This window comes from Homo sapiens, chromosome 9 (assembly GCF_000001405.40).
Source record: "Homo sapiens chromosome 9, GRCh38.p14 Primary Assembly".
NCBI classification, from domain to species: Eukaryota; Metazoa; Chordata; class Mammalia; order Primates; family Hominidae; genus Homo; species Homo sapiens.
In genome coordinates, this window is record NC_000009.12 from 136,469,001 (window position 1) to 136,483,363 (window position 14,363).

At 53.7% G+C, this 14,363-nt stretch overlaps 1 protein-coding gene across 52 annotated transcripts in view, besides 4 other annotated features; it reads right to left on the minus strand.

Annotated features, from left to right (window-relative positions):
• SEC16A (SEC16 homolog A, endoplasmic reticulum export factor) overlaps positions 1 to 14,363 on the minus strand; it is a 44,636-nt gene that overhangs the window by 28,896 nt on the left and 1,377 nt on the right. For 20 of the 52 annotated variants that reach the window (XM_047424240.1, XM_047424236.1, XM_047424239.1 and 17 more), the window contains exons 2-3: positions 5,049 to 8,684; positions 2,975 to 3,111 (exon numbers count right to left, since the gene is read on the minus strand). In XM_047424240.1, coding sequence (XP_047280196.1) covers positions 2,975 to 3,111; positions 5,049 to 8,615 — 3,704 coding nt within the window. In that variant the 5' untranslated portion in view covers positions 8,616 to 8,684. Of the gene's footprint in view, positions 1 to 2,974; positions 3,112 to 5,048; positions 8,685 to 9,708; positions 9,831 to 13,937; positions 14,041 to 14,363 lie in introns of those variants that run through there. The other 32 variants (XM_047424264.1, XM_047424261.1, XM_047424263.1 and 29 more) reach the window with 4 other exon arrangements.
• Positions 13,188 to 13,933: an enhancer, noted in NCBI's record as "H3K27ac hESC enhancer chr9:139376640-139377385 (GRCh37/hg19 assembly coordinates)". NCBI's record gives its function as "activates a minimal SCP1, AML or CMV promoter by ChIP-STARR-seq in naive H9 embryonic stem cells {active_cell/tissue: H9 hESC(naive)}" and the evidence as "EXISTENCE:reporter gene assay evidence [ECO:0000049][PMID:30033119]".
• Positions 13,188 to 13,982: a biological region, named in NCBI's record as "H3K27ac hESC enhancer GRCh37_chr9:139376640-139377385".
• Positions 13,663 to 13,982: a silencer, noted in NCBI's record as "silent region_20520". NCBI's record gives its function as "represses an Ori minimal core promoter by ATAC-STARR-seq in GM12878 lymphoblastoid cells {active_cell/tissue: GM12878}" and the evidence as "EXISTENCE:reporter gene assay evidence [ECO:0000049][PMID:35858748]".
• Positions 14,213 to 14,322: a silencer, noted in NCBI's record as "silent region_20521". NCBI's record gives its function as "represses an Ori minimal core promoter by ATAC-STARR-seq in GM12878 lymphoblastoid cells {active_cell/tissue: GM12878}" and the evidence as "EXISTENCE:reporter gene assay evidence [ECO:0000049][PMID:35858748]".

Consider the following 14,363-nt stretch of genomic DNA (forward strand, 5'->3'; position numbering starts at 1 on the left):
ACCACACCTGGCTAATTTTTTATATTTTTCATAGACATGGGGTTTCACCATGTTGCCGAGGCTGGTCTCGAACACCTGGGGTCAAGCGATCCACCCACCTCAGCCTCCTAAAGTGCTGGGATTGCAGGAGTGACCCACAGTGCCCGGTCTCACTGAGCCATTCAAACCAACCTAAAATGCCAGTTTCACAGCCTCGACCCCAGACCACTGGCTGTTGGTACTCCCTGTACCCGTGCAGGGTACCCCCGTCAGAGCCCGTGTGTGTGCTCCTGGAGCGGGATTCTAATGGCCCCACCTCCCCCTCAGGTCTCCTGGAGCTGACGTGGTGTCAGATTCCTACACGTGCCCCAGAAAGGCTGGTTTTGTAGACCAAGCCATGATCCTGACTCTCACTACAGGAGAAGCACAAGTTAGTACAATGATCAAGTATCAGACCTTCTGGTACCTTCAAGATTCTTGAAAGGCCAGCCTGGTAAACACAGTGAGACCCTGTCTCCATAAAACAGTAAAAAAATTAGCCAGGCATGGTGGCACACACCTGTAGTCCCAGCTATGCAGGAGGCTGAGGCAGGAGGATGGCTTGAGCCCAGCAGGTTTTAAGGCTACAGTGAGCTATGACGGCACCACTGCACTCCAGCCTGGCTAAAAGGGTGAGACCTAAAAAGACTCTTGAAAGGATGTAAGAGCATTTTATAATTTTCATACAATATTTAATTTTTAAAACGTGACCCTTCCCACGCCCCTTCAGGAGACATCACGGGAGCTGCACACCCGCCGCTGAGGTTGGCTGCTCGGTTGGCGCAGCACCTCTGCATGAGACGGGGCTGCTGCTGGGTGGCATGGGGCCCGGCCCACTTGTCCCCCTACATCCAACTGCTCAGCCACAGTAACGAGCCCTGCTGACCGACAGCCTGAGTGGCCACAGCAGGTTCTGGAGAAATTATCTGACTTGGGGTTTCCAAGGAGCCGCCGTGTCCTCAGCCGACCTTTCCAACCCCAGTCATTCATCAGGAGCAACACAGTCTCAAAAACAACAAGGCTAAGACAGGCAGTGCCTGCGGGGATCTGACCACACCAGGCCCAGAGAGTTGAGTCCATGCCACGCACAAGCACGGAGGCTGAACAAACATGCAAGACGTGTGCTCCCCAACCAAAGCGGGGGAAGGAGCAGAAAGGATTCCCCAGAGCCTGCGCAAGCCAGGGCTGAAGGCAGCCGCAGGATCCGAACACAGGAAGGAAGAGTAAGCCTGCGGATCTGGTGACAAAGCCACTCCTGTGGTGACCTGACCCTGCCTCTGGTGAAAGGCCTTCTCCGTAGCACGAGCCACCACTGGCCTCTCAGAATCGGTTCCTAGGTGAGCCTGGCAGGGCGGCCAGCAGCAGAAGGAAAACGGAACAGTGAGAATGCTCCCTGGCTGTCTCTCCTCCGTGCTCTCGCCTCTCAGGGCCTCTAGGAAACACCTGTCTGCTCACCCTCACCCGGAGCTGGAAGGCTTTGAATCGGAATATGATCTTAACTTCAAACCCCGCTTCCCAGGTGACAGGGTGACACACAGTAGCTCAAATCCTGGGAATTTTCTCACAATTACAGCCTCCAGAGAGGTGAAGCCTCACAGTGCCGCCTGCTTCACAAAGCACCTCCAACATCCAGCTGCACACCGCCCAGTGCATGCCCTTGGAGCCGAGTACACCAGGGCCAGCTGCGTGGGCAGAGGTTCACAGACAGAGCCTTTGTCTTTAGGTAAGCTCCTAAAAACCTCTAATAAGCACGAGGAACCTTTCAAAAACAAGTGCAGGTACAAAGTCTTCATTAATGAGTAGCTTTTTCTCTATTACCAAGTTTAAGAAGCAATATCCCCTTGCAGGAAGGCTCTATCTGTGAGACAGTCTCTCTCAGATCTCACAAGGAGCAAGTGCAGCTAAGGCCCTGGAAGGCGCAGCCTAGCGCGGTGGCCAGGACCACGCCCACCCCTCGCAGGGCTCTGCGCACCTCCCTGAGTGGAGATGAAAATCAACAACAGCCTCCTCTGCTCTAGGGCCCAGGAGGACTCTGACCTGGCTTAAAGGGCTACTCAGCTGAAGCCACAGTGCCACAGGTCTTTCCAAACCCCTCTTCTGTAATGGCAAACAGAGGAATGGCTGGCCTTCAAGCAGAGGCGGCAATGTCAAGGAGAAACATAGGCTGGCCGGGCGCAGTGGCTAATGCCTGTAATCCTAGCACTTTGGGAGACCAGGGCAGGAGGATCCCTTGAGGCCAGGAGTTCGAGACCAGCCTGGCCAACATAGTGAGACCCTCGTCTCTACAAAAAAAAAAATGAACAAAATTAGCTGGGTTTGATGGGGCATGTCTGTAGTCCCAGCTCCTCGGGAGGTTGAAGTGGGAAGATTGCTTGGGCTCAGGAGGTCAAGGCTGCAGTGAGCCAAGATGGCACCATTGCACTCCAGCTTGGACAACAGAGTGAGACCTGCCTTAAAAGAAAAAAAAAGAAGAGGAAACACAGGCTTTCAAGCCCTGCTTTCTGTAGCCAGCCTGACAGGTCTAAGAATTAAGTCACCTCTGTGACCAGTCCTCCCAGGCCTCCGGAGACCGGTGAAAAGCTGCCGTGTCTCTGGGGAGCCTGAACACCCCATTAGCAAATGGCCGGACCAACAGACGTGCCCCGTCAAGAGGGGCTCACAGACAAGTCAGAGGCTGCTTCTCTGCAGCCCTGAGCAGGGTCTGGCCCCAGTAGGGGTGGCGCCAAATGCTAACTGACCAGCACAGCTAATGACCACCTGGGGCAGTGTTTAATTTCATTTAAAAACACACCCTACAATTTGTCCATACCAAGAAAATGTCAACATATGTTAGATAAGTTTGTACAATTCTTCAGAAATACAGAACTTTTTGAGTCACTAAGTTATCCCCATAGCAAGCAACACAGACATGGGTCTGAGTAGGACAGAGAGGCAGCCAGGGTGGGCGCGGCCGCACCTGGGAGGTGGCCGTTCCGAGGAGTGGCTGGCTCGGGAGCTGGGCCGCTCGGGCTCGGGATAGCGGTAGTTCTGGGCGTAAGCAGACGCAGCACCATCATAGGGCCTGTATCGAGGCTCATAGAGGCTGTAGACATCCTGTGGGAGGAAGCATTTGGGCAGGATTAGACACCAATCAAGAGCAAGCTCGTCCAACAGCCAGCCTGAGCTGGAAACATTGCAGAGGGCGGGCAGCATTAGATACCTACCAAGAGCAAGCTCGTCCAACAACCAGCCTGAGCTAGAAACATCGCAGATGGCTGCTCTCCAGCAGGACTGAGCGTGGCCCTTCCCTCATACACAACCACACAGACCTCCAAAGCACAGCCACACCCACAGGCAGCAGGGTGTCCTAAGACCCACAGCCCTGGCCCTGTTCAGGAGACCTCTGGATGGACCCAGGGCACCAGCATGTCAGCAGACAACCCCAGGGGGCTGTGGCGACTTCTGGAAGGGGCTGTTAGGTTTCTGCTTCCTGATAAGTCCAGTGTGGAGATGCCATGATTTGAACAACCCCTGCGTCCCGCTTCAGATGCCACCTCAGTTAAGTCAGAGAACCAGGGTCCCAGTGAACAGAGCCCCAGCCAGGAGCAGCCTCTAAAAGCGGACCGTGCTTTATTCTCGGGAGGCTTCAGCCCCATCACCAACCAATTCGTGGCCACAGAATTGTTCCCAACGGGGCCCATGTGGACACATGAGGATCTGAAGACATGCAGTGCCCCGGACACACGCCAGAATTCACGCTTAAGCGCCTCAAAGCCTCAAGGCCTCGACGCTGCCGCTGCCTGGCAGGAAATGTGAAATCACAGCAAAACAGACTCATCCTTGGCCACCCGGACACCACAGCAAGAGGCACGGCGGGAGGAGTGCACTCCTGCGGAGGGAGGTGGCTCGCAGCAGGAGGACCGGACAAAGGACCCGAAGTGAGGCCACGGCTTCCCGTCGCTCTGCACCAGCCCCACCCCAGGGCTCCCAGCAGAGCTGAATGTCCTTGTATGGAAATAAAAAGTGCCTGGGCTCCTTCTGGAACCTACACAGGTCTGAGGGGTCAGGTGTGCACCTGGTCACACGCACACAAACCATGATGCTCGAGGCCCATGGGGGAGGCCCAGCCCCATTCCCCGGGGCAGTACCCAGCAAGCCACGGCAGCCTTGCTCCTCGGGGCGGGCCCCCTTCTGACTGCAAGGCCTTCCTGTGTGGCCCCAAGTCTGGTTCCAACTGGCCTTACATACCGCAAGACCATGGTTTTCCAATTCCCTATCACACAATCCTTCTACCTGGGGTGACACTGAATCGGTGAACCCAATCGGTGTATGTTGAACTGGGTTAGAGGGTAGGAAAAGCAGATAATGATCAAATGTGTACACAGACACTTTTCGAACGACTGCAGGATTATGCGGAACCTAACTCAAATGTCACTCATGAGCTGGTGTCCCTGTGAAAAAGAGGCACAGAAGAATCTTCTGCACGAGCACAGCCGGTCCCCGAGCCGCTGCCCGCACCACCACGTGCTGACAGCAGCTTGCGGGACTCCGCCTCGCTTAGCTGATGCGTGTGGCTCATGCTCCAAAACTATTTTCTCTCCATGTTTTTATTCTCCAGGGGCATTTAAAGGACTATGGTTATACCCAATGCTTCTGACGTAAGCTTCCAGAGGCTAGCCCAGCTTCCCAAGGCATGCAAGACAGAACTTTTCTGCAGACAGCCAGCAGGAGCAGGGGTGACAGCAAATGGAGGGCTCTTTTTGTCACATAAGCTGGGGAGGCTGGTTCAAATCCTAAGCAAGTATTATAAGCAATTCAAGATGCTAACGCGTGGTGTGAACTAAGGGTGGCCTGTGCTTGGGAGAGTAGGTTCTGGAGCCGGGAGCCCTGTCCTCAGGAAGCGTTACTGGAATACTGTTCTCACGCCTGCGGGACTGTGGGTGACCCCGGAACCAAGCGAACAAACACTACTAAGGAATACACTGTGAGTGAGACTCAACTGGTCAAAGCACAGACAGAAAAGTGGGTTACACATACGACTCGACTCTTACCTGGTAATAGAGGGAGGCTGCGCCAGGCTCCGGTGGGTACGGCAAAGAGTACTGAGGCTGGTAGGCATCGTACAAAGGCCGGTAGTAGTAGTAGGCGGCCAGGTCCTGAGGCGGTGGGCCGGGGGCAAGTGCAGGCACTGGCTGTGGCCACGGCTGCTCTGACGGCACAGCTGCCTGGCCGGAGCCACTGGACACCAGAGACACGCTAGAGGACTGAGGAGGCCGAGGGGGCAGCTGCTGACCCGCGTCGACCAGAACCAGACTTGCTGGTGACTGTGCTGAGTTCTGGGCCTGTCCCTGTGCGGGCAGACTTTCTGGATTTGACAGCTCCGAAAACATGGCTTTGGGTAGTTGTGGGGGAGAAGCCTGTTGCTGGGGTGGCACCAGCTCCTGCTGGGCTCTTTCGAGGCCAGGCTGGCCCTGGGCATCTTTCGTGACCTGCTGATAAAAACGGTCAAGGTTAGGCGCCCCAGGCCCAGATTGTCTGGGATGACTGGCAACACTTTGCTGAGAAGCGAGGCTGTCAGAATGGGACGGGTTGTACACGTTTACAGGATTTTCCAAAGTCCTGCTTAAGGTAAAGTCTAGGGCTCCGTAAGTGTCTTCCTGATGACTGGAATGGTTTGCCTTATTACCATCAGGCACCAGGGTGCCGTGTGCAGGTGGAACTAACACCACACTTGTGCTTCCAGCAGGGCTATTAGCAAATCCGGGAAGAGCACTTCCTGCCTTACGATCCTTTTGACTTTCTGGAACCAAGTTCTCTGGAACTGGCTGGGATGGTGGTTGAACCAGCAAATTAGCAGGCTGATTAGAAACCATTTCGGAAGCACCAGAACCTTGTGGAAAATTACTTTGGGCAACACTGCTAGGCAGAGACAAGCTAAGGACAGAGCTGGTTGGAATCCCAGACAAAGAAGTGTTCTCCCCAGAATCACCACCGAGAGCCCAACTGCTGACTGCAGGTCTATCCCCCACCAAAGCCTCTCTCCAGGACTGATTCTTCTCATGAGAGTTCGATAAGGACACAGAAAAGTTAATGGGCTGAGCCAGATTATAGCTGTGATCAGGCTGAGCAATCAAGACTGGAGGATTCTGCAGAGACTCAGTGGGCGGTGAGGATAATAAACTTGCATAACCAGAACTCGCCTGGGACTGAAGGGCCTCCTCCTCTCCCATTTTGGGAGGATTCTCAAGGTTCTCAGAAGCACCAATGCCACCTCGGCTCTGCACCGGGGCCGCCGAGCTTGGGTTCCGTGACTGCTGCCCGGACATCGCCTCTTCTGGAGGCTGAACAACAGGTGGCTGAGGTTTTGCACACACATAAAGCGCCGGGGCTGCAGGGGCCAGAAGGACGTTGCCTCCAAAATCTGGCAGCTCACTTTGCGCCCACAGAGTCGTTGCTGGGCTCTCACACTTCACGGGCCCCTGGGTCCTGGCTGAAGGCCTCTTCTCGGGTGCTGGATACACAGTATCCAAGGGCGGTGCCCCTGCGTGCGGAAGCATGTGCACAGCTTCCGTGGTGGAGTTAAGAGGCAGGGGACAGACCTGGGGTGCACAGAGGGTCTCCATGTTGTCTGGTGGCTGCTCCAGGTTGCCAGGGGAAGCATCGGGCAGGGCGGCAGCTGGTCTGCACTGCTTCTGGCGGACACAGGTCTCCCTTACTTCACCAACCACGTTGGCGCGATCTGCCTCAAATGGTTTTACCCCAACTAAGTGAGATTTTACCGGTTCGAAAGAACTATTTGCACTTGTCTGAAATATTCCTGTAGGTTTCGGGGGGCTCGGGGTTGAGGGCTGGGACACGCTGCCACGGTAATTCTGGCTCACAGTGGTCTCGTCTGTTTCACCTCCTACGGGAGAAGAATCGATTTGCTTAAAAAAACTACCTGAAGCTTCATCCTCGGGTTTTCCAACTTCTTGCTGAATGAATGTGCCAACCAGCTCCTGGGGCCTGGCTGAGCCTGAGAGCCTTCCGTGGCTTCTGCTGCTATAGCTGGATGACACGCTGTCAGGGTGCACTGTATGCAGTGTGGCATCAGGGGCTCCGGTGTGGCACACAGCACCATGCCTGGGCACAGCTGGCCCAGGAAGGGGCCCATATCTGAACTGGTCACTCGGGGAGGAAGGGTCCAAATTGAGGGGCTCACTTGGCAGAACTTCTTGATTCTGAACAAATTCTAAGTTCTCAACATTCTCATACTGCGAGCCGCTGGCATCCGGCACCCCTGTGCTCGCTGTGTCACCCCACACATCACCAGCAGCCTCATTGCTGGGGCCTGGGAGAAGGGCCTGGCAGAGGCTGCCTGCCCCCACGTGTGTAGGTGCGGGCGGACGGCCTAGCCCAGGGCTGGAGCAGAAATCGTCAAAGTCCGCTTGACCAGATAAGCCTGCTTTTTCAGATGAGAGATTCTCCTCATTTTCTGTCTCTCCCCCTTGGAAAAACATCGCCAGAGCTCCTGAAGCTCCTGAGTCTGCTTCTAGCGGGGCACAGCCAGACCCGGCCCCAGCCCCCAGTGGGTGGTGCGTACGGTTTTCTGGGCTATCTCCCCGGGCGAGGGGGTTCACAAGAGCAGAGGCGGGCCGGTGCTCATTCTTCACTCCTGGATTCTGCCTGAGCTCTGGGCTTGCCCAGTGATTCACAATTCTGGGATTTTGCCTGAATGTACTTTCAGGATCAGAGTTATTGGCCAGGTGGCTTCCACTTTGCAAGTGGCTCACCTCGTCTCTTCCGTCACTGGGCAAGGCTGCTGGGGGAGCCACCAGAGGGCTGTGTTGCTCATGACCAGGGCCCTGATGTAGGATGGACGGGGTGGGGAAATGAGGAACGCTGGTGGCACAGGGCACCCCGCTGGGAACAGGTCCTTCAGGGCAGGGTGAACGATGTTGCCCCGAGGGCTGTGGGCCTCCCTGCACTGGCCCCCACTGTCCTGGCATCTGCAGACCAGGCTGAGGGAGGGAAGGGGATGCTGCTGGGGTGACCACACCGTCATGTGGGTTTTGCCTGCTCAGGGGTCGGTCGAGCCCAGGCATGTTCCCATGAGGGTGGCCCCCATGAGACGTTTCAGGATCCACTCCTGGAATGTAGTGAGGAAGATATGGCAGAGTCTGAACTTCAGGCTCTGAACTGGGACCGACCTCTGCACTCCTGTTCATCTCAGGCCCAGGAGGTGCTGAAGGTGTCAATGCACCAGAAAACGGACTGGCATGTGCTCTGGGCTGTGTCAGAGGTCCAGGCAGGGGCTCACAGGGTCCCTGAGAGCTATCTCTGGCATGTGTGTGAGGAACAAGCAAACCGGGGTGCTGAGAAAACCCTGCGGGGGCTGGGCCTTGCAAGACAGGTGGACTGCTTTTGGACGAACTGCCCAGTGGTGTACTTTGGAGCGCCTGTCTACTAAAAGCAAATGGATCCGTGACCGGCTGCAACGGGCAAGTTGTCGGAGCCACTGCTGCATTATTATTAGCCCGTCTCCTGTAAGGGCTGCTAGCCCAGAACACGCTCCGAGGATTCCCGGCTGGAGGTGGCCCAGCCATGCCAGACGGGACCGTCTGGGGCGGTGGCTGCATGACTGAACCCTTGCACAAGTCGATGCTGCTTACAGAAGGAAGCAGGATATAGCTGTTCCTTAATTGGAGCTGGAAAAGAAAAAGAGAAAATCAGCATAAAATCCATATATTCAAAGTCCTAGCTGCAATCAGGAAAACTAAGGAAAAAGAGAAACATTGAACATGATTTTATGTCACTTAAATCCCAAGGACTCTCTCTCCCCTACACCCCACCCCAGCAGAGAACACCTGTCCCTGAGGAACTGTTCTGGGGGGCAGGGGACAGAGTGAGAACCCTGGATGGCCTGGCTGCGAGCTGATGGAGTATGTCTAGATGGCCACTCCCTCCCCTGGGATCCTCTACTCACAGGGCCCATTGCTGCCGCAGACCCGCGCCACAACAACAGGGACAGTGCGGAACCTGACCACTGCTGTGATATGCTACCAGACCCACAGATACTCAATGTTTTCCTGTAAACCATCCCTAGATCCAGGAAGAGCCAACTCTTCTATTAAGAAAGAAAAACTGGCCAGATATGGTGGCTTACGCCTGTACTCCCAACACTTTAAGAGGCCAAGGCGGGAGGACCACTTGAGCCCAGGAATTCGAGGCCAGCCTGAGCAACAGGGGGATCTCGTTTCTACAAAAAATACAAAAATCAGCCAGGCATGGTGGTGCACACCTGTAGTCCCAACTACTCAGGAGGCTGAGGCAGGAGGATTGCGTCAGCCTGGGAGGTTGAGGCTGTCGTGAGCTATGACAGCACCACTACCCTTCAGCCTGGGTGACACAGTGAGTCCCTAGCTCAAAAAAAAAAAAAAAAAAGGAAAACTTTATATCATACTTTCCATACATGTTAATTTTAAATTTCAAAAGGGATACAAAAGTTTAAAATTCATTCTTCCATTTTCTTTGATGAAAGAGCATTATGAAGTATAGTTATAAAAGCTGCAAAATAGGCTGGGTGCAGTGGCTCATGCCTGTAATCCCAGCACTTTGGGAGGTCAAGGTGGAAGGACTGCCAGAGCCCAGGAGGTCGAGACCAGCCTGGGCAACATAGCAAGACCTTGTCTCTACAAAAGAAGAAAGTTAGCCAGACATGGTGGCACACACCTGTAGTCCCAGGGACTCAGGGGGTTAAGGAAGGAAGATCACTTGTGTCCATGAGTTCGAGGCTGCAGTGAGCTATGATTATACCACCGCGGTCCAGCCTGGGCAACAGAGCAAGACGGTCTCTATTTTAAAAAAATAAATAAATAAAAAGTGACACAATCATTTTTTTAAAAAGCACTGCAAAATAAATATATTCATCTAAATGCCTTTTATCACACCTCTTCATAGGTCTCCGTTTTTGTACTGTGACTGGCTTAAGGTCTGAAAGGACCACCAGCAAGATGTTACCTTTGAACTGGAGCCGTAACTGTGCCTGGAATGGAAACTCCCAGGAAACTTAAAGCAGCTTTACAAGGCACAGACTGGATTCCAACACTTTCAACAACAGGCAGAATTGCCAAGAAACCTCTTACAGAAAAGAAAGGGGCAAAAACCTCCATCAGTTTTTAAATAAAACATAGTAGATACAAACTTGAATAGTTAACCTGGCCTCTTAAGGCAAAAATTCAAGGACTATATCTTTAGGAAAGTTCTTTTCTTTCTATCAGTCTTTCTTCTTGTCAGCACCACCCTCATGAACAAACAGATAAGTTTAGCCAATCAAAGGAAAAATTAAACCAAAGGGGAGGACTCTGTAGTTTAATCCACACATTTTTTTTTTTGAGACGGAGTCTTGCTCTGTCGCCCAGACTGGGGTGCAGTGGTGCGATCTCGGCTCACTGCAAGCTCCGCCTCCCAGGTTCATGCCATTCTCCTGCCTCAGCCTCCTGAGCAGCTGGGACTACAGGCACCTGCCACCATGCCAGGCTAATTTTTTGTCTTTTCAGTAGAGATGGGGTTTCACCATGTTAGCCAGGATGGTCTTGATCTCCTGACCTCATAATCCACCCGCCTCGGCCTCCCAAAGTGCTGGGATTACAGGCGTGAGCCACCGTGCCTGGCCAATCCACACATCTTTGCAGATGTATATTATTTTGGTCTCTTGGAAATCTTTCTGATATTCAGATAAAAGAAGAAAACACTGGCCAGGTGCAGTGGCTCACACCTGTAAGCCGAGCACTTTGGGAGGTAGGAGGACCACTCGAGTTCAGCAGTTTGAGACCAGCCTGGGCAACACACAGCGATACCCCATCACCAAAAAAAAAATGCCGGTCGTGGTGGTGCGTGCCTGTAGTCCCAACTACTCGGGAGGCTGAGGTGGGAAGATCGCTTGAGCCAGGGAGGTTGAGGCTGCAGTGAGCCTTGTTCAAGCCACAACACTCCAGCCTGGGCGACAGAGTGAAACTGTCTCAAAAAAAAAAAGAAGAAAACACTGATCAATGTATTTTAAGTCAAGCTATTTACTAGGAACAGCAGCAAAGGCTTCATGGAGGTTTTAGGCTCTCATCTGAAAACAAAGAATGTTCACAGCTCTATTTTATATGGACTGAAAGGAGAACAGGCAGAGCATCTTCCTCTGATCTGTGCACTGGCATTATCTTCCACTGGGTCCTACCAGCTGCACAGCCACAGCAGACACAGCGACACCTGCAACCACGGCCAGAACACGCAAACTTCCAAGCACCTCCTGAAACTCTGCTGCCAGAACTGGGGTCCTACCTCATCTCTCAAGACATGGCCTTCCCCGGGAAGATCCTTATCATCCTCAAAAGCTTTTGTTTGCTTTAAACACAGAGCACGGGCCTAGAGGTTTATTCCTTGGCTGCTGCTGTGAGAGCAAAACTGAGTGTCCAGGTGAGTGGCTCGAGGCAGCCACTCCTCTTTCTGCAATGTATTTTTGTCTATAAAATGCGAGAATCGATGTGATTATTTTTTCCTAAAAAACCCGGGTTTAATCTTATGAGATTCTACTCACAGTGGATTCTGGGATGTCCTAATCCCACCTGCTGTTTAACAGGGGTGGCCGGGCACGGTGGCTCACACCTGTAATCCCAGCACTTTGGGAGGCCGAGGCGGGCAGATCAAGAGGTCAGAAGATCGAGACCATCCTGGCTAACACGGTGAAACCCCGTCTCTACTAAAATACAAAAAATTAGCCGGGCGTGGTGGCGGGCGCCTGTAATCCCAGCTACTCGGGAGGCTGAGGCAGGAGAATGGCGTAAACCTGGGAGGCGGAGCTTGCAGTGAGCTGAGATCGCGCCACTGCACTCCCGCCTGGGCAGAGCGAGACTCCGTCTCAAAAAAAAAAAAATTATTCCGCAGCTCTCCTAGACTAAGAGCTTTTTTATGGCAAACATTATCACTTACAAGGAGCATTCCAACCTTCATGCTCCCTAATTGAGAGCTTTTTAGCAACATGCCACTTTCATTTGGAACAATCTTGTGACTTGAACTGATTTTTTTGATCTTTTTCTCTACTCACCAGGAGAAAAACAATGCAACTGCCTATCACCTATGTCACCACTACAGGGAATTTTATTCTTTTTTTTTTTTTTTTTTTTTTTGAGACGGAGTCTTGCTCTTTCACCCAGGCTGGAGTGCAGTGGCGCGATCTCGGCTCACTGCAGGCTCCGCCCCCCGGGGTTCACGCCATTCTCCTGCCTCAGCCTCCAGCGTAGCTGGGACTACAGGCGCCCGCCACCTCGCCCGGCTAATTTTTTTTTGTATTTTCAGTAGAGACGGGGTTTCACCGTGTTAGCCAGGATGGTCTCGATCTCCTGACCTCGTGATCCGCCCGCCTCAGCCTCCCAGAGTGCTGGGATTACAGGCATGAGCCACCGCGCCCGGCCCAGGGAATTTTATTCTGTAACCTCAAGTCATCTAATTCTTTTATTGTTCCAAAGAGGCCAGCTGATCTTGAAAATGCAGTATTCATAAACCTAGCTAGTCAGTTAAACTGCCTTGTAACCATGTGGATACCTAAGCAAAACTCTTTTTAGTACAGTTCTGGCTACAGAACTGAGGCATTTAAAATGCATGCACACCCCTCTCCTCTTGCTGCCACTGGCTTCATATTTTAAGTGAGGAAAACAATAGTGTGCCAGGAAGCCCCTGAGTTTACCTACTGCCTACAGTCTCCCTCACGGTGGCTGCTAGTGACGCCCTGTCAGACTGTGGGATGCTTGACACAAAGACATGATCAACTCCAACTCTTCTAAGTTAGAATCGCAACCACATACAGTTAGATGTTGAAGAGGAAGCCAGCGACAGAGGAGGCCAGCAGCCTAACACTGATGAAAATGACGAAGACCCTGGTATTCATGAAAGATGCTTACAGAAGAAGAAATCACATTAACATTTACCCACTACCATGACCTCTTGCTGGATTTGGCAAAAAAAGACAAAGAAAAAGAAAAAAAAAGTGCCCACTGCCTCAAAGAAAACTTTAAGTACAATTTTGAGACTCACTGTAGTAACCACTATTAACAGTAAACGAGGAACAAGGAACAAGAAAGACACGCTATTTTGCCTCTTGTCTACAAGATACCAGCACCTGAAACTTAAGAAAGGGGATGAGGAAAAAACGCAGGGAGGCTGCATTGTGCTGAAACTTGCAAAAGTATCACTTCTAGGAAGAACCGTCTGCGGTTCCGTTTGCTTCGTATTGCCACATGGGGGATGGGAAATACCTCTTTGGTTAACATCGGCATCACACATGTAAAACAAAATCTTAATATACAATCCACACCCAACTTACAAGCCATTTAAAAGTGTTCTTAAGCGGCAAAAACTGACTTTAAATGGCTCTGATGTTTCTGAAGGCTCTACTGTAACACTTCCATCACAAAGGGGCGAGCCGGATCACACACACTCCTCTAACCCTCGGCCTCTGTTGCAACATCCTGATCGCCCAATCAAGAAATTACAAACAAACAACTCTGCTCTTTGGTTCAAATGTAAATGTGTCTCTTCACCAGCATCGCTAAGGAAGCCTTCTAGCCGGTGAGGACAAGACACGCTCATTTGAAAAGTTAAGAGTCTTACGAGGGGTGCCTGGGGGTCCAGCCTCCCGCCCCGGGAACCGGCGTCACCGCAGCCCAGCCGGGTCCACGTCAGTCCCTCGAGTCCCACGGCGGCCCGCGCCGCGTCCGGCCTTCCGCTCTGGCCCGGGGGCCCGGACGTCTGTCCCCTCGACCGGCCCCGGCGGGACCCGAGATGCACCGCCCGCTCGGGGCTGGGCCCAGCCGCCTCCTCTCCTCCGCGCCCCGACCTCCACGGCCTGGCTCCGCCGGCCGGCCTCCGCCTTCCTCCTCCCGCGCTCGCCCCCTCACCCGCGCTCGCCCCCTCACCCGCGCGGCTGAGACCGATCCCTCAGGAGCCGCGGGCGAAAGCCCACCCGACGCTGGCGACGAGCACAGACACCTCAGCCGCCGCAGCCATCTTGGCACATCCGGCTCGGGTCTCCGCGGCCGCCGCGCCGCCGACGTGTCCGGCTTACGACATCAGCGCGCGCCCCGCCCCTGGCCCCGCCCCTCGGCTCGTCGGCCCAGACGCGTTCTCTTTCAGCCCTTCACAGCCCATCCCTCGGCCCCGCCCCTCGCCGGCGTCCGTCCTCCCCGCCTCATCCCTCTGTCCCGCCCCCTCTGCCCCCGCCCCTCGCCGGCGTCCGTTCTTCCCCGCCTCATTCTTTCGTCCCGCCCCCCGCCCGTCTTCCACGCCTTATCCTGTAGTTCCCGCTCCCCTTGGCCCCGCCCCTCTTCCGTCGTTCCTCGCCT